General features: G+C 41.1%; 1 protein-coding gene across 4 annotated transcripts in view, besides 1 other annotated feature; it reads right to left on the bottom strand.

Annotated features, from left to right (window-relative positions):
• The window catches only part of SMS (spermine synthase), a 54,129-nt gene continuing 35,990 nt past the window's right edge, over nucleotides 1,163–19,301 (bottom strand). For all 4 annotated transcript variants that reach the window (NM_004595.5, NM_001258423.2, XM_011545568.3 and 1 more), the window contains 7 exons: nucleotides 18,764–18,939; nucleotides 17,886–18,040; nucleotides 17,034–17,123; nucleotides 11,582–11,696; nucleotides 10,777–10,856; nucleotides 3,288–3,403; nucleotides 1,163–1,688 (listed from right to left, as the gene is read on the bottom strand). In NM_004595.5, coding sequence (NP_004586.2) covers nucleotides 1,649–1,688; nucleotides 3,288–3,403; nucleotides 10,777–10,856; nucleotides 11,582–11,696; nucleotides 17,034–17,123; nucleotides 17,886–18,040; nucleotides 18,764–18,939 — 772 coding nt within the window. In that variant the 3' untranslated portion in view covers nucleotides 1,163–1,648. The remainder of the gene's footprint in view (nucleotides 1,689–3,287; nucleotides 3,404–10,776; nucleotides 10,857–11,581; nucleotides 11,697–17,033; nucleotides 17,124–17,885; nucleotides 18,041–18,763; nucleotides 18,940–19,301) is intronic.
• Nucleotides 2,697–2,746: an enhancer, noted in NCBI's record as "active region_29487". NCBI's record gives its function as "activates an Ori minimal core promoter by ATAC-STARR-seq in GM12878 lymphoblastoid cells {active_cell/tissue: GM12878}" and the evidence as "EXISTENCE:reporter gene assay evidence [ECO:0000049][PMID:35858748]".

Genomic DNA, 19,301 nt, shown 5'->3' with positions numbered 1-19,301 from the left:
AGAAAAAGTAGGCGGCCGGGTGTGGTGGCTCACACCTGTAATCCTAGCACTTTGGGAGGCTGACGTGGGCCAATCGCCTGAGGTCAGGAGTTCAAGACCAGCTTGGCCAATATGGCAAAACCCCGTCTCTACTAAAAAATACAAAAATTAGCTGGGTATGGTGGCCGGCGCCTGTAATCCCAGCCACCCGGGAGCCTGAGGCAGGAGAATTGCTTGAACCTGGGAGGCAGAGGTTGCAGTGAGCAGAGATTGTACCACTATGCTCCAGCCTGGGCGACAGAGCAAGACTGTCTCAAAAAAAAAAAAAAAAAAAAAAAAAAGAAAGAAAGAAAAAGAAAAAGTAGACATTCACTCATTTAAGAAAAAAAATGTCAGGCCACTACGCTCCAGCCTGGGTGACAGACCAAGACGCTGTCTCAAAAAAAAAATTTTTTTTTTTTTTTTTAAATACCATACTATTGATTCCTACACCTTGAGAGGAAGAACGTTCTGTGTTGACACCAATTCTACCTCAAAATGGACACTGAATATTTCATTTTTAATGCTTTGCTTATTGCAAATTCATCATAAATGACTCATTCCATTGATACAGTATAAACCTTTTATAAAAACAACAGAATAACCCACTGATGTCTAACAATCCAAGTCAATGTAAAGCTCACTTTTGATGTGGATTGTTACCCACACACACCACACCAAGCTGTTAGCTACCTGCACTTCCTTAGGAGTTTTCAAGTTGCTCATATTGCCATAGGCCTCTCCATAAATTCTGTCATACATCGGTGCAGCCAAGAATCTGCTCAGAAAGTTTCATAGCAGCTACCCAAAATGACTTTTATTTCCACATCTAATACACTGCTAAGAGTGGGACCAGAAATAAGCTTTTGACTTTCAACTTTACAGTCAGACAAAATCTCTTGCTAGCCTCAGGTCAATGGTATAATGAAGGACTGGTGAATGTAATAGGTTGTGTATCATTTAGCACGGTGGCAAATGAAGTCATTACTACTGTTCAAAAAAGGCCCCGGGGCCATCCTATTATAAAGAGATAAATGACATCGAGTGACAGAACTAAAAACAGACCAGGAGATACTGTTGCTCTATGAGATCACAAGTCAGAAAGAGGGGACTGGGCTGAAATAAAACGACAGAACACACAAAATGTCTCTTTTGTAATTTTAATTGAAGCAATCCTATTTTTTTTTAACTCTCTCTTATAAGCACCAAATTTTAATATCTAAGTCAATTTTTGGGGAAAGAAACACCATCAAGATCTTCCCTCCAGCAAAACAACGATGTTCACTCCTCCAAATATCCAAATTGAAGATCTACCAAAACAAAAACAAAAACAAAAGCCCACAGAGAAATAAAAAGGAACAAAAATCACATTCTAATGGGGGGGGTCAGTGCATTTAGCAGTCTTCGCTGTGCTGTCTAACCATCCTTCAGCTGACTTTCAAAAAAAAAACACCCTAAGCTCATCAAAATATACATTTTCCATTTGCTTTTTTAAATTAAAAATAATTATTAAAAAAAGGAAAACTTTAAGGAATTCACAATCAATTGCCTGACTCATTTTGATGTCATGTACAGCATATGGAGGTCAGGAAGGCTATTTGCAGCACATGTGATTAGGGGCTACTGATCTTCAGGGTTTAGCTTTCTTCCAAACAGTGTAAAATACCCACCTGGACAGGGAGTCAAGGAATAAAAGCAGGTAATTCAAGGAAGAAAAGACATCACTTGTAATTCGTTTGCTGGCCTACAAATTGAAAGATGGATGAAAAGCTTCATGGCTTAGAGCACTGTGGGAATGAGAACGAAGGACTTTGAATAAGGCCACTCTGCAGCCTGGGGACATCCTCACCACCTGGGAGGTCTGAAGGAGGTACTGAGTAGACAACAGAAGGCTAAAGGAACACAAATATTCTCTCAGGTAACACTACTGCTTCCAAAGTCTCACAAGTTTTAGGGAATTAGTATGAGAAGGAAAGGAAGGAAGGGGGAAAGGAGGGAGGGAGGGAAAGTTAGGGTAGCGGGAGATACAAGGGAGAGAAGGGGGAGGGAAGAGAGGGCAGGAGGAGGAGAGGGAAGGAGGAGGAGAGGGAAAAAAGGTCAGAGGAGGAAAGGAGAGGGAAGGAAGGAGGGAGAGAGAAGAACTAGCAGGTGGAAGACTTTGCCTCAAATGTTATCAACTGATTTCTCAAATCTCCCAACATGCAAACACAGGCCTGACAAAAATGCTGAGGGGAACCCTAAACAAAGGTGGACAGTTGGTAGGAGATGCTGAAGCTCTGTACAGGCTGTGGAGGGACACGGCCACCCAGCAGGCGGAGTACTCCCCTCCTCACATGGAGGATCTAGAGGGTTCTCATTGCCTCTTGCTGGCCATCTGGTCTCAGCAGGCAGTTTGCCCCGTCGGGCTCTGCCCCAGCCTGATGGGACCAGGCCTCACTGGAGGTCAGCAGCAGTTGCTCCCTTGACAGCAAAAAAACCCTGCCGTCACAGGAACCTGGACTTGGCAACAGCAGATAAGGAAGCCGTCATCTGCAGACTACAGCCCACAGCTGTGTTGCGGCACAAATTTCCAATGATAATGCTCATTTCCTTTTTTCTTTCTGTGTTTTACTTCTCTAGACTAACTTTACTAAGCGGAACTAACAGAGAACACCAATGTTAACCGTGCAGTCCCCAACATCATTCTAGTTCTCGATTTCTGTTGCAAATTAGCATCAAGTGTAGAAACTAGTATTAATGTCAGGTTATTTTAATGTAAGAGTAGAATGAGTGTCTTTAGACATTTTACCTGCCACAGGTAGGGTGGTTATTTTAGACTAGGGCTTCTCAAACTTTTCAGGTGCACATAAATCCCTGGGAGGGCTGGTAGAACAGGTCACTGGGCCCCCACCTCCAGAATTCCTCTGATTGGGCAGCAGGTTGGGGTGGGGCTTGAGAATGTCCATGTCTAACTAGTTCTTGAGCGATGCTGCAGGTCTGGCAACACCTTTGAGAACCAATGCTTTAGACCAGTAGTGCTTGATCATTAAAAGCACCTGGAAAGCTGTGGCAAGCCAGACCCCAAAACTTTTGAGAATGGAAGTCTAGAATCTCAGATTTTATTTAAAGCTTCTCAGGGGATTCCAATGTGCACCTAAGCTGGAGAACCAGGGCTTTATATACTCTATGGCTAAGCTAATTGTTTATTATTGTGATTTAAATTTTTTCATTGGCATATGATTTACTTGGGTGCTTTGATCTGGCAACAGAATGTCACGGTCAAAGGATACAATTCCAAGTATGAAGGGACACAGACGATCTCCTTTGAAAATTCCACAGGACAATACAGGCGCCCCAGCTGTTCTTCATAGAGCGACAGTGCTTCTGTCAGATTGACACAGTTCCCCTAAATCAAAGAGAGATAAGCAAATGGGATTCTTGAGTCCTTCCAAGGGCCCCACTCATCTGAAGGTCTTTAATAAAGGAGAACAATTCTAGCTTTAGATAAAAGTTCATCTTTAAAAACAAGATAAGGCTTCTGTATTTTCACAAATCACACTGCATTCTATTTATAGACCCATTAGAGCTCGTTATCCTTCTACCTCATTTACCAAGCCATTTCAAATTATTAGAATATGAAATGATAGAAAGCAGTGAAACCAATTTCTTATTAGTGACACTCACTGAATTAAAACCATGCAATTTGCAAAGATTCATACAAATAACTCATTCAAAGGAAATTTTCTCAATAACGGTCACCATTATATTACAAATGAAGTATCAAAAATATAGTGTTCCTGATTTCCACAATGGTTTAAACTACAATTCTCCTAAGAGTCTAAAATGTTGACACAGAACTATATTCACCCCCATTTTTTTCCTAGAATCTGTGTATAAGAGAACAAAAGTTTATTCAGGATATATACGATAGGGATATCCCCTAGTTGCACACCTTATCAAAAACTTTCTCTTAACTTCATTATTCTAACATTTCTCCCTTCCCAGTCACCCCATTTTCAGCATCTCCAGCAGCTAGGGGTAGTCAATGAGATATACTGGAAGTCTGCTGGTAGCTGCTGGAAAAGCTTTTGATTCTGAACAAAGAAAGAGCCACCGGCCTCTTCAACTTTCTTCTAAGCTATGACCTAGATGTGATATTTGGAGCTGCAGCAGCCATCCTGTGACCACAAGGAAAAAAAAGGTGAAGATAATCAAGAGATGCCAGCCAAGGTATAGCAGAGCTGCTGAATGGATACAGTATTTGCCTAACTCTAGAGCAATGCTTCTTACACCTTAATGTACATATGATATCATAGGGGATCTTGTTAAAATGTAGATTTGGATTAAGTCTAGGGAAGCATTTATCATCCTCTTAGCACAATTTTCCCCAAATGCTTTTCATTATGAATTTAGAAAACGAAAGTGGTATTTAATACCGCCTATTTCCTTTTAATCTCTGAAGTTGGTATTCACAAGACTACTGAATCCAGGTGGCTGATTCCGTTTCTTAAGAAAATTACTGTTCGCTGGGCATGCTAGCTCAGGCCTGTAATCCCAGAACTTTGGGAGGCTGAGGCAGGTGGATCACCTGAGGTCATGAGTTTGAGACCGGCCTGGCCAACATGGTGAAACCCTGTCTCTACTAAAAAATACAAAAGTTAGCCAGGCGTGGTGGCATGCGCCTGTAACCCCAGCTACTCGGGAGGCTGAGGCAGAAGAACCGCTTGAACCCAGGAGGTGGAGGTTGCAGTGAGCCGAGATGGCGCCACTGCACTCCAGCCGGGGCAACAAGAGCGAAACTCCAATTCAGAAAAAAAAAAAGTTACTATTAATTTGCCTCAAAATAGCCAAGTATAATGCAAGATGAAAATTATTTACAAATAAAGGCAGCCTGTGATGTAAGAACTCCTGAGAATGGCTTTCAAAACCAACCAGCCAGCTAGTCACGGGCAAGAGGTTAGAACTATTCTGAGAGCTGGCCTTGGTGGTTTTAACTTAGCACATTCACTCAACGTGACGTCATCCTTCAGTGTCAGCCTGTTTAGTAACCCATCATCTAGGGTCCTGCAGTGGGATATGGCCATGGCCAAAGTGCCCTTCGCCAGCATGTAATTTGGTTTCAACATCAAGTTCACCGTAAGAGCATATAAACACCACACGTGTAATTTAAGATTCACAAATAGAAAACTGCCCAGTTGTTTTTAGAACACATCACCACTGGGGAAGCTATAGAATGAAAATGCCACCAAGGTGCACAGTAAATGGCTTTGCCATCTTAAAATTGACACCACACTCTCTCTTTATAGAGGTTATATGGGAAGACTTCCTTACACAGACTGTGGTAAGAAAATAGGAAAGTTTCAATTTGTTCTTTCCCAACATTGTCAAGAAGTTTCAAAGAAGAAAACACACACCACAAATAGACACCTACCCCAAAAAAGTAACATGATACATTTCACTTTCCTGTCTATTTAAATGGAATGACATTTTTTCTTTTTAAGAGAAACAAATGGGAGATGCAGAATAAAAATCTAATAGCAAAGAATTAAGCACTCATTAAGGATAAGAAGAAGGGATGGAACAAGGGGTGGGGTCACACCTGGCACTATCGAAGAAAAAGGGGCTCACTGCCCAATGTGCTTGAAGTCAATATTAGGACACTGGGGTTTTAAGAAAAGCAAAGCTTATTTTAATTTCTTTTCAGAGACAGGGTCTTGCTGTGTTGCCCAGGCTGAAGTACAGCGCTGTGAACATAGCTCAGTGCAGCCTCAAACTCCTGGCCTCAAGCAATCCTCCCGCCTTAGCCTCCCCAAATGCTGGGATTACAGGCATAAGCCACCGTGCCTGGCCTAAGAAAAGCTTTTTATTGTAAGTCAACTAACAAGGAGACAGGAGTCCAGCTTAAATATGTCTCCCTGTGTTGGGCTTACGGGCAGTCCTTTTATTAGAAAAGGTTTAAGGGGCCAGGTGTGGCGGCTCACATCTATAATGCTAACACTTTGGAGGCAGAGGCAGGCAGATCACTTCAGGTCAGGAGTTCGAGAGCAGCATGGCCAACATGGTGAAATCCCATCTCTTCTAAAAATACAAAAATTAGCCAGGTGTGGTGGCTCACACCTGTAATCCCAGCTACTCGGAAGGCTGAGGCAGGAGAGGTGCTTGAACCCGGGAGGCAAAGGTTGCAGTGAGCAGTGATCAAGCCACTGTACTCTAGCCTGGGCCACAGAGTGAGACTCCATCTCTGTCTCAACAACAACAACAAAAAAAAGTTTAAAGGGTAGGTTCTGAGATGTGCAGGTGATTGATTCGTGGATGGAAAGCAAAGGGTAGATCTGGAAAATCCTCAGGCGTGTATAGTTATTTCTTTATGCCCACTAATGGGTCTTGTGTGCAAACTTGAGGGCGGGGAAGTGGTTAGCATGAAGCAAGTGGTGGAAACTTAGGCTGTGACATCAGCAAGCTTGTTCTATGCAAATTCTAATTGGCCATATTGGTTTTAACAGATTTTAGCCAATGATTTTCTCTCTTAAGTGGAGGGAGTTTCAGTGTTTCAGCAAGCTGTTTCTTTTTTTACCCGTAATCCTGCAAAGTCCAGATTTTATTAGTCATTGGTTTCTTTACCCCTTTGAGGCTTCACTATGGGATTAAATCCAAATTCGATAGCTTCAGTTCTAGAAAGTTCTTTTCCCCATGTTAGGTGTGGACAGGTGACATTTGCTTTTGTTTATTTTAGAGGTGGGGTCTTCACTATGTTGCCCAGGCTGTCCTCGAACTCCTGGGCTCAAGCAATCCTCCTGAGTAGTTAGGATTACAGGCACATGACACCTCAGTAACAGGTACAGAAGAATACATCCTTAGCAACTTTTATCCAGTTCAAAAGCAAGTAAAATTAAATAGTATAATGATTTAGGAAATCATACATGTAAGAACCATCTATAAAATGCAGAAATGGAAAAAAGTGAGACCAAAGATGGGTTGCTTCTAGAAGGCAAGCAGAAAGGAGAGAGAAATATAACTTACAGTTTTTTTTAAATGGGGCTGTGGGGAGACAAGAGAGGAAGGTCAAGTCCCAGGATCCGCCTCCTAGGTTCCATGAAAACACTTCCTCCCCAATTCAAATTCTATTGGCCCACTTTGATTCCCACGTCCCTCCACGATGCATTCCCCAGCTTCCTGGGATGCTGACAAGGCTGCCTTCAGGCAGCCACAGTAAAACCAATGACATCACGAACTCACAGCTAGCAGTTTTGGGTGGGAACATTTAGCTTTTGTAAAACACAACATTTTCATCCCACCCTTAACCTGACTCCTTTTTTTTTTTTTTTTTTTTTTTTTTTTTTGAGACAGAGTCTCCCTCTTGCCCAGGCTGGACTGCAGTGGCGTGATCTCGGCTCACTGCAAGCTCCGCCTCCTGGGTTCACGCCATTCTCCTGCCTCAGCCTCCCGAGTAGCTGGGACTACAGGCGTCTGCCACCGCGCCCGGCTAATTTTTTGTATTTTTAGTAGAGACGGGGTTTCACCACGTTAGCCAGGATGATCTTTATCTCCTGATCTCGTGATCCTCCTGCCTCGGCCTCCCAAAGTGCTGGGATTACAGGCGTGAGCCACCGCACCCGGCCAACCTGACTCCAGTTCTAAGCTGCACACTTGGGCAAAGCGGGTGGGCATGCCAAGAATCTGGGTTACCTCCTAAGCGTGTCACCTGGCAGTTAAAAAAAAACTGCACTGTGGCAACTACATCAACACATCCTGAGTCAAATCACTTGCTTTTTGACTTAATTACTACTTCTTGAAAGGGCTATACATGCCGGTCCACATAAATCTTACCATGTGACAGTGTCAATCACCAAATGTACTGAATGAACCCCAGGTGTTACATAATGAGACTGTTTTGTGGTTCCAACTGTAATGAACATGGGGACAGAAAACATGTCATATGTCTTTTGGACAATTCTTAGAAACCAAGACAGCCCTGGGCATACAATCCTTTTGATTTTGGTAAAAAGTCTATTGGCAAAGGCAAGATATCAAAGCCTGGGTCATTAATATTCACAAATGGGCTGTGGTAGTATTCTAAGCAAGTATTCTATTAGCCTTTCATACTAAGATAACAGCTCTCCATAGGAGGCAGCCTGCCATGCCAATATTCAGAACAAAAGAAGAACAGCCACTCGGCTGTAGTAGACAACAGGTGGACTTAGTGTGGCTGTCTTCTTTTGTCCTGCCTTTTGTACTACAGACTGACTAGTTTGTAGTGGATCCAAATTTTTTTCAGTCTCTTTTTGTTCAAGATCCCAGAGCCTCACATTTTTCCTTGATTAATTTAAGCTGCTTGAGATTTCCTTTTATGTATTTGCAGAAACCTAAAAGAAAAAATTCTGCCTGGGCACGGTCACTCATGGCAGTAATCTCAACACTTCAGGAGGCTGATGGAGGAGGATTACTCGAATCTAGGAGTTTAAGGCCAACCTGGGCAACATAGTGAGACCTCATCTCTACAAAAATTAGCCAGGCATGGCAATGGATGCCTGAAATCCCAGCACTTTGGGAGGGCAAAGCAGGATGATCACTTCAGTCTGGGAGGTTGAGGCTGCAATGAGTGCCACTGTGCCACTGCACTCCAGCCTAAGCTACAGACCAAGAACTTACCTCAAAAAAATGAAAAGAAAAAATTTCCATATGCTCTGCTTAAAAAGTACCCATCATGGCTGGGCGCAGTGGCTCGCGCCTGTAATCCCAGCACTTTGGGAGGCCGAGGGGGGCGTATCACCTGAGGTTGGGAGTTCGAGACCAGCCTGACCAACATAGAGAAACTCCATCTCTACTAAAAATACAAAAAATCAGCCGGGCGTGGTGGCACATGCCTATAATCCCAGCTACTCAGGAGGCTGAGGCAGGAGAATCGCTTGAACCCAGGAGGTGGAGGTTGCGGTGAGCTGAGATCGCGCCATTGCACTCCAGCCTGGGAAACAAGAGCGCAACTCCATCTCAAAAAAAAAAAAAAAAACCATCATAAGTCCAACTTGCTTCTTTACAATAAGAAAGCTTCATTTGAGCAGGTTTCACTGGTTTCCTATAAGACAGGGATCAGCAAACTTTCTCTGTAAAGGGTCTGATAGAAAATATTTTAGGCTGTGCAGATCATACAGTATCTACCACAACTACTCAGTACAAAAGCAGCCACAGACACTATGTAATAAATGGGCGTGTCTGCATGCCAAGAAAACTTTACAAACATGCAAGCAGGAGGCCAGATTTGGCCCAATGTTTGCAGACTCCTGCTTTAAATAGTTATATCCATCTACAGCATGTCTGTAAAAATCATTTCTAAATGTTGTGGGGGGCAGAGACACTCCATTCATTGATAGTGCTTTGCTGTCCTCAAAGCCTCTGAACAATTTTGCCAAGCGCAAAGTCCAAGATTAAGCACAATGTGCTTGCAGGTCTTGCACGCAGAGGGAAGAGGGGAACAACAGGATAGGCTGGAGCCTGAATCAAGATGTCTCTCAGAAATGCTAAGTTGTTTTCAGCATTAGTAATCTCAGATTCCATAAAATGTCCAGGATAGGGTCTGCTGGCAGACACCTCCTCAGAAGGTTAAAGTGAAAACCTCTACCTGTTCCTGACTTTTTTTTTTTTTTTTTTTTTTTTTTTTGAGATGTAGTCTTGCTCTATGGCCCAGGCTGGAGTACAGTGGTGCAATCTCGGCTCACTGCAACCTCTGCCTCCCAGGTTCAAGCAATTTCCTGCCTCAGCCTCCTGAGTAGCTGGGATTACAGGCTGCTGCCACCATGCCTGGCTAATTTTTGTATTTTTAGTAGAGACGGGATTTCACCATGTTGGCCAGGCTGGTCTCGAACTCCTGACCTCAGATAATCCAACTGCCTCGGCCTCCCAAAGTGCTAGGATTACAGGCGTAAGCCACCACACCTGGCCTCTTCCTGACTTTTAAATACAGTATACTAATACTGTGTTTATTTTTGAGTCAAGGTCTCACTCTGTCACCCAGGCTGGAGGGCAGTGGCACGATCACAGCTCACTACAGCTTCAACCTCCCAGGCTCAAACAATCCTCCCACCTCAGCCTCCAGAGTTAGGACTACAGGCATGCACCACCATACCCAGCTAATTTTTTAAACTTTTTGTAGAAATGGAGTCTTACTATGTTGTCCAGGCTGGCAGTACTTTTTTTAAAAAATGGCGGAGGGGATTTTCCTGTAAACTCAGAATAATTCAGAGATCCAGAGTGCAATGCTACATAAGTGCTTATCTTATGTTTATGCATCAAGGAATTTTGTACCAAGAGACTGGATTATCAATTAGCTGTCTTTGCTGTCATTTTCAAAATTTTGTTAAGGATTTCAATAGGAGATATATATGTATATTTTTAACCCCAATTAATGTAATCTTTAAAGTTTAAGTTTAGAATCCCCTAGAGAATGAGAAAAACACCACAATCTGCTTCCATCTGGTGGCAGGAGTTCACAGTACAGCCAGAGCTTTGTCATCAAGTGTATGTTGATGAGGGGAGGGGAAAAAAGAAAATCAGTCTGTGTCTCCATCTGGTGGCAGCAGCTCATACTACAGCGAAAGACCAGGGCTGATAACTCATTAATTCCCAACAGACAACAGGTCAACGTAGAAGCTTACTGTTTGAAAGAACATAATCCGATGATGCCGCTCTATCCTTAATAGATATACATTTCAAAAATGTGCATTCAGATTTCAAAACAGGAAAGTCTTAGAGCGTTTTGAGGGAAAAAACTGTTAAGTAGCCTACCTGTGTAAAATATTTCCCATCCTGTTTCAACACTTTCATTGAGAGGTCAAGAATCAGTCTGAGAAACTCCCATGTGGAATCTGAATGTTTAAAAGAACAAGTTTCATAAATATGGGTTTGTATGTATCCACAACATCTGAAGTAAAATATTCGAATACTCAATACCAAAAGAGGAAAAAGAAAAAGAGCCACGAGTGTAAGACCCACTATTCAAAGAGCTTGTTCATGAACGATAATGAAATTGATTTTGGATGCCAAAATCACATCCACCTAGCACTGCTCGCTCTCAAAATACCAATAGATTTGACACAAAGGCAGTGGCTGAAACGTGAAAGAAAACTGCTTTAAATAAGGGGGCAAGCAGCAAAATCCTGAGAGAAATTCAGAGCCTGCAAACTCAGCAGGAACTTGAGTTTATAGAAAAAAACACGAACTAGCTGTGATTTGGAACAAACATCTGGTTTGAGAAAGGGAATTATCTATGTCGTTGCTTAGATAAGTGACCAGTTTGTACCAATACAGGTTGAAAATCACATAATTTAAATAAATTGTCAAATGATTTACTGTCTCATTAATGTAATGAGTCATTTTACTTCATTTTTGTTTCAAATGACTGAATTAGTTCACTCATTGAGTGGCAGAACAGGAATTGAAGCCAAATCCAGTCATCTTTCCACCATGGACCTCAATTTAACTCCCTTTTTCAAAAACGTGAGAGAACTACACAATCTCTAGGATCCTTTCACCCTCACATGGTGCCAAGAGAAACATTTCCATCATAAATATCTTGGTTAAAAAAATCTACCTTCTTCTGGAGACGTGGAGATTGGAACAGCTGTCAAATCATTAATCACATAATCAAATTCTCTCCCTTCTTTGGCGTACCTCTTCAGTACCGGGATACAGTCTTCTATTAGAACCTTCCAGAAAGAACAGGAATAGATGAGTGAGCCAACATGTGGATGTAGTTAAACAAAAAACAATAGTAAAGGAAGGAGGAAAAAAGCGCCAAGTATGGGCTTATATCCACAGCTATCCACAGCAACTGCTACAGGAACCAAAAAACTTTCATCTATGTCTGTTAACAGCAAAAATTAAGTGCTTACCATATATGCTTTATATGCCTTCTCATTTCAATAAAACAACAATCCTAGAGGCACTATTATCATCCCATTTTACCAATGCAGAAACAAACTTGAGGTGTTATCCAGCTTGCCCATAGATCCACGAAGTATACCTATTACTATCTGAAAGCCAACTTCATACTTTCATCTCTAATCTATACTGCCTCTCCTATCACTATCTGTATCATCTTCTTTTAATTTTTATTTTTTTAATTAATAAACTATTTTTAAAAAGTTTTTCTAGAGACAGGGTCTCACTACGTTGCCCAGGCTGGTCTTGAACTCCTGGGCTCAAGCAATCTGCCCACCTCAGACTCTCATAGTGCTGGGATTAGAGGCATGAGCCACCGTACCCAGCCTAATTTTTCTTTTATACTAAGCACTGAATGACTTCATTGTTTATGGATTCACTTTTGCACCTTACTCAAACTATTAACATGTTATTTCTCAATTTTCTCTAACGCTTGGGCTACTGCTAATAAAGCTATATATAACAGCTCCCACCATCAGAGTCAATAAAGAGACCAGCTGGAATTCCCATACAGATCATATATAGTTAACACAGAAAAGAAGTTTGAGGTTGGCTGTATCTTTGAAGTACTGAGGCTCTATGCTGGGGACACATCTGGATCTAAGCAACATCCTGAACTAAACAGGAGTTACTGTCATCTTTTAGTTTTCTAATTCAAAAAAAAAATACATTAAGTAAAAGAAAAATTAAATATAATAGTCAGAAACCAAGAGTTTAAGAGTTTGCCAGGCTGGGGTCAGTGGCCCAACACCTGTAATCCCAGTACTTTGGGAAGTTGAGGTGGGCGGAACAATGGAGCCCAGGAGTACTAGAGCAGCCTGGGCGACATGGTGAAAGCCCGTCTCTAGAAAAAAAAGAAAAATCAGCTGGGCCTAGTGGTATCTGCCTGTAGTCCCGGCTACTCAGGAAGTTGAGGTGGGAGGATCGCTTGAGCCCGGGAGTTTGAGGCTGTAGTGAGCCATGATCATCGCGCACCACTGTGCTCCAGCCTGAGTGACAGAGCAAGACCTTGACTCAAAAAAAATTAAAAAAAGTTCACCACAATTCCCTAAGATAACCTATCCCATGTTATTTCTCATCATTCTTCTTATAGCCTCACAGTTATAATTTTAAGAAACTGGGACTTTTCTGTCCTATTGTTTTATAACTTGCCTCAATGCATCATACAAGTCCAACTATGGAAAAATATAGGAGGTACTAACACCACCGTTGCTTTCAATCCATGTATTAATCCTGTTTGATATGCTCATATTTTTTCCATACGTTCACACAGATTCTTACGAATACTTGCACACAAACACAAATGTATGTTCTCTTTTGTAAAATTTGAATCCCACACATCATTTGGAACTTGAACATTTCACCCAACATCTCTCCAGGTAATAACACACATTTTAAAAAATACACCATTCCACTAAAAACATTCTTTCTGTTGTCATTGCCAAGCCTTGGTCACTACAAGCACAGCTATAATAAAACCTTGTAGTGACACCTTTTTAACTGTGGGCTGTGTGCTCAAACACCGGCTAGAAGCCGTGTGTTCCGGTTTTGATAGCAATTCACACGCCAACCAGCAATGCATATGAGCACCTGTCTCCCCACAACCTCCCCAGCATGAGATATTGCCCCTCTACTAAATTTTGTGAAGTCTGTTGCTAATGTTTTCACAAGAACTTCCTGGGCCACCAACAGGGTTGACCGTCTTGTGGTACTTTTTTTTTTTTTTTTTTTTGAGACAAGTCTTGCTCTGTCGCCCAGGCTGGAGTGCAGTGATGCGATCTGGGCTCACTGCAAGCTCTGCCTCCCGGGTTCACGCCATTCTCCTGCCTCAGCCTCCCGAGTAGCTGAGACTACAGGTGCCCGCCACCACGCCCAGCTAATTTTTTTTTGTATTTTTTTAGTGGAGACGGGGTTTCACTATGTTAGCCAGGATGGTCTCGATCTCCTGACCTCGTGATCCGCCCACCTCAGCCTCCCAAAGTGCTGGGATTACAGGTGTGAGCCACCGCGCCCGGCCTGTCTTGTGGTACTTTTTACAGGTTATTTGACTTATTCTGAGAAGTACCAGTAAATATCCTCTATACCTTTTTAAATTTAGCTAACTTCATTTCTAAGTTGTAGGGACTCTGCATTATTCAAGGGATCAATTCCCTGTCATGCTTGTTACTAGTCTTTCTTCTAGTCTGACTTTTGGCTTGGTAATGACAACATTATAATACCATTAACAGTTTGAGTGTCCTATCTTTAAGAGATTTCTGAACTCCAAGGTTAAGTACTCTAAATTGTCTTAAATGTATTAGTTTTTACATTTAGAGCCTAAGTCACCAAAATTCCTATTTCTATTGTTAGCTAACTTGGTTCTCATGCAGATGGATAACTTCTTATACCGGCATCACACACTAACTCAACTAACGCTTTTCCCAAGTCAACTGAAATGTATCTTAGACCATATTAGCAGTGTGTAGGAATACATACTCAGACCTGTTCAAGTTCCTTTGACATTCCTAGGTCCTTGTGTATTCCTTTCATACTTCCTATTTGATTATCGTGCCTTATAGTACATTAACAACAAATAGGACATATTTCGCTTCACACTATGATTCTTTTTTCAAGTTTTCTTGGGTATTCTTAGATACTTATTTTTACAAATCAACTTCAAAATCAGTTGGTCTACTTTTAAACCCCTCCCCCCTCCTTGGGATTACTCATAATAAATTGGGAAGAATAGACATTGTTCCTTTTTTTTTTTGAGACGGAGTCTTGCTCTGCCACCCAGGCTGGAGTGCAGTGGTGCAATCTTGGCTCACTGCAACCTCCACCTCCCGGGTTCAAGCAATTCTCCTGCCTCAGCCTCCAGAGTAGCTGGATTATAAGCACCCACCACCACGTCGGGCTAATTTTTGTATTTTTAGTAGAGACAGGATTTCACCATGTTGACCAGGCTGTTCTCCAACTCCTGACTTCAAGTGATCCACCCACCTCGGCCTCCCAAAGTGCTGGGATTACAGGTGAGCCACCAAGCCCGGCCTGTTCTTTCAATACAAGAAATACAGCATGCCTCTCCACATATTCAGACTTTGATGTCTTTCAATAACATCTTAACATAATTCATACCAGTCTCACAATACCATTCTTGTTAAATATATTCCTAGGAATTTAACACTTGATTACTTTGAAAGGAAATGGGTGGGAAGGAAATCCTATTTAAATGAGTTAGCATTTAGTATAGAGAAAAAATCTAGGCTGGCTTTATCCAATCACTTTATCAAATTCTCATTAATTCAAATAATTTCCTACGTAAGTTTCCTGGATTTTCTAGTATTCACATCATCTACAAATAATTAGATTTATACTGTTTTCATCTACTTTACTATCTCAGCTACCTCAAAAAATAATGTTGAAAAAGATAATAGGCATCCTCATCTTCTTCCTATTTTCAGTGGAAATGGCTTTTGCTATCTATTATATTTTCTATTTTTCTATTTACCACAACCTAAGTTTCTATTAACGTTCAGGTAGTTTCATCTCTATTGCAATTTTATTTTATTCAAGTAATTTATAATTTAACTTTTATTTTAGATTCAGGAAGTACATGTACAGATTTGTTAGATGGAAATATATATATATATATATATATATTTTTTTTTTTTTTTGGAGACAGTCTCCCTCTGTTGCCCAGGCTGGAGTGCAGTGGTGCAATCTCAGCTCACTGCAACCTCCACCTTCCGGGTTCAAGCGATTCTCCTGCCTCAGCCTTCCATGTAGCTGGAATTACAGGCACACGCCGCCACACCTGGCTAATTTTACATGGCTATACTGCATTAGTTTTTATTTAAAATGACTGCTAAATATTCTCAAATTCTTTGTCATCTGTTATTTTCCTCCTTTAAATTATTCACCTAACGAATTAAGTTGACAGATTTCTTAAAATTGAAATCTTTACACTTCTAACTAAATCCTACTTGAGCATAATATAGACTTAATTTGCCAGATTTAGCTTATTATTTTACTTGGAAATTTTGTACATATGTAAAAGCAATCTTTAGCTTTGTGTACTACTTGATTTTTACTACTAAGGTTTCTTTTTTATTATTATTATTAAGGTTTTTTTTTTTATTAAGATTTTTTTTTTTTTTTGAGACATTCTCGCTCTGCAGCCCAAGCTGGAGTTAGAATGGCCATCATTAAAAAGTCAGGAAGCAACAGATGCTGGAGAGGATGAGGAGAAATAGGAACACTTTTATACTGTTGGTGGGAGTGTAAATTAGTTCAACCATTGTAGAAGACAGCGTAGCGATTCCTCAAGGATCTAGGACTAGAAATACCATTTGACCCAGCGATCACATTACTGGGTATACATACAAAGGATTATAAGTCATTCTACTATAAAGACACATGCACACGTATATTTATTGCGGCACTATTCACAATAGCAAAGACTTGGAACCAACCCAAATGCCCATTAAGGATAGGCTGGATAAAGAAAATGTGGCACATATATGCCATGGAATACTATGCAGCCATAAAAAAGAATGAGTTCATGTCCTCTGCAAGGACATGGATGAAGCTGGAAACCATCATTCTCAGCAAACTAACACAAGAACAGAAAACCAAACACCGCATGTTCTCACTCCTAAGTGTAAGCTGAACAATGAGAACACATGGACACAGGGAGGGGAACATCACACACCGGGGCCGATCGGGGGTAGGGGGCTAGGGGAAGGATAGCATTAGGAGAAATACCTAACGCATGCAGGGCTTAAAACCTAGATGATGGGTTCATAGGTGCAGCAAACCACCATGGCACGTGTATACCTATGTAACAAACCTGTACATTCTGCACATGTACCGTAGAACTGAAAGTATAATAAAAAAAAAAAGAATTAATTTTATTTAATTCAGAGAATCTGGAGTTGGTGCTTTCCCATCATTGGTACGTGTGCACCCTAAATACAAATATACATATAACTCATATGAAGAGACAGATGATGTATTTATCTTCTCAACCAACTATACTAAAAGCTGTTTTAATAAGGCACAATTCTGATCAATAACTTATATTATTAGTTCACTTAAAACTACATTATCCAGAAAACAATTACCTGATAGCAGTCTCCTTTAAGATTGTCTAAGACATCGCCACACGTTTTTCGCATGTATTTCTTACACCCATCAATCACCATTTGGTCAATGTCCGCAACAGGTTAAGGAGAATTTGGGTATATCAAAGAATTCTGAAATAGTAATACTTTAAAGAAAGGATTAAGACAAACAAAGGTTTTATAATACTAACTTGGGTATCACAAATTTAACAAAATGATGAATGAGGCAGTGACTTTATTTTCACACTAAGGACACTCAAAAGGAACTTAATCTTCTTTTCTCCTCATGAGATGGCTTTAGAGAAGCCATTTTGGAAACTGCTAGGCAGCAGACACAGTATCAAAGTCCTTTGCTCTTTAATCCTCAACTAGGTAGATTATTTGTTTGTTTTTGAGACAGAGTCTTACTGTCACCCAGGCTGGAGTGAAGTTGCGCAATCTTGGCTTACTGCAACCTCTGCCACCTAGGGTTCAAGCAATTCTCCTGTCTCAGCCTCCCGAGTAGCTGGGATTACAGGTGCCCGCCACCATGCCTGGCTAATTTTTGTAATTTTAGTAGAGGTAGGGTTTCGCCATGTCGATCAGGCTGGTCTTGAACTCCTGACCTCAGGTGATCCACCCGCCTCGGCCTCCCAAAGTGCTAGGATTACAGGCATGAGCCACTGTGCCCAGCTGATTATTTCTTTGTTGATGGCCACATAAAAGGGTACTGTTACTAAATTGTCTGTTCAAGGCAGTCTAGGTAACACATTTGCCTCTAGTCTGTGGTAACATTAATTTGAGTTGTGAGACACTGAAGGAAGGAAACAAAAGAAGCCCACTGAACTTGTTCTCTTATACAACAAAGGATATCTCTACCATAGTGACCATCTTTGGTTTTAGTTTGACTATTTCACACAATATGCCTCCGTCTCCACCTCCCAGAATGAGTACATCTTTGCCAGTGTAATCTTCTTTGCCACTGCCCATGATGGCCCGGGTATATGCCAAATCACTCTCTGCCAAATCTAGGGAGGAGAAACAGATCCAAATGGTGAGTCTACCTTAACACACAAACCACCTGGCCCCACCACACTGAAGAGCTGGGATCTAGACCAAAATGTAAATTTTTCATTTTCAATTTTTTAAAACTGTGAACAATTTGCAAGCTTTTTTTCCATTGAGGACTTTTTCATCAACCCTGATCATCTGACACCTAATACAAATGGACATTAGTCAGTGGGAAGAAAATCCAGCCTTAAAAATGTGTCAATATACCGAATAACTAAAAGCAATTACATCTTTACAAATGAAATAATATGATGTCTGTGAGCTGCTTCAAAATAATATGAGAGGGACAAAGTGGACTGGGGTTTAGGTAAAATAAGACTGGCTAGGAGGTGGTAATTGTTCACACTCGATGGTAAGTACATGTGGGTTCATCACACTAGTTTGTCTACTTAGGTTTGAATTGTTCTGTAACAAAAAGGTTTTTTTTTTTAAATATGCAAATGCATTTTCTTTTGAAATACAATCCAAATACTCATCACTAAGGAAGCAATGTCAAGACAAAGTTTATGTGAAAGCCCAGACAATCCACAGGTTAATATGACATAAATGTGCATCTCAAAAACCAGCAGTGTCAAAAACAAACTCAAACAAATCCACGACAGTAGTAATTGTCAGGAAAACACCATCATTCAACACATCACCACTTTGTTACGTGATCGGGGCAGGGATGGAATACTTACTAACATCCCCACTAAGGATGAGAATATTTCCAAACTGCTTCGAGTGTAGAATTTTTATATTTTGATAAGGTGAATCTTCGTCATATACCACTTCATCTATGTCATATTCAACCAGGCGCCCGTCGGCGGTGGGCCAGTATCTGTCGATGGCTCCTCCTCGCACTATGGGTGGTAATCTGGAAAAAGAGAAAAACAGAAATGTACCTTACTAGAACACTGCCTTACAAGTGGAGCTAGGATGAAGAGTGTGCAAAAGAAAGCCACATGACTGCCGACTTTTGACAAGCACAAAACGAATCCAAAGCTTGGGCTTTTAGTTTTATATAATCACGGCCACCACCAAATGTTGACAACTATTGTACACAGTTCACTTTTTAAAAAATCCTGTCATGCTTTAGATTTTCTCTAACAAAAAGCTGAAGGAGAAGATGGCCACTGCACACTTCATATTTCAAATGCTCCAGCAGCATCTGTCTCTTAAGACTATCTACATAACTACATGGACATTACCACATTTACACCAGTTCACATGGGTATG

Source organism: Homo sapiens, chromosome X, assembly GCF_000001405.40.
Source record: "Homo sapiens chromosome X, GRCh38.p14 Primary Assembly".
In the NCBI taxonomy this organism is placed as follows: domain Eukaryota; kingdom Metazoa; phylum Chordata; class Mammalia; order Primates; family Hominidae; genus Homo; species Homo sapiens.
Note: the sequence above shows the minus strand (reverse complement) of the source record. Positions and strands in the feature narration are given on the sequence as shown.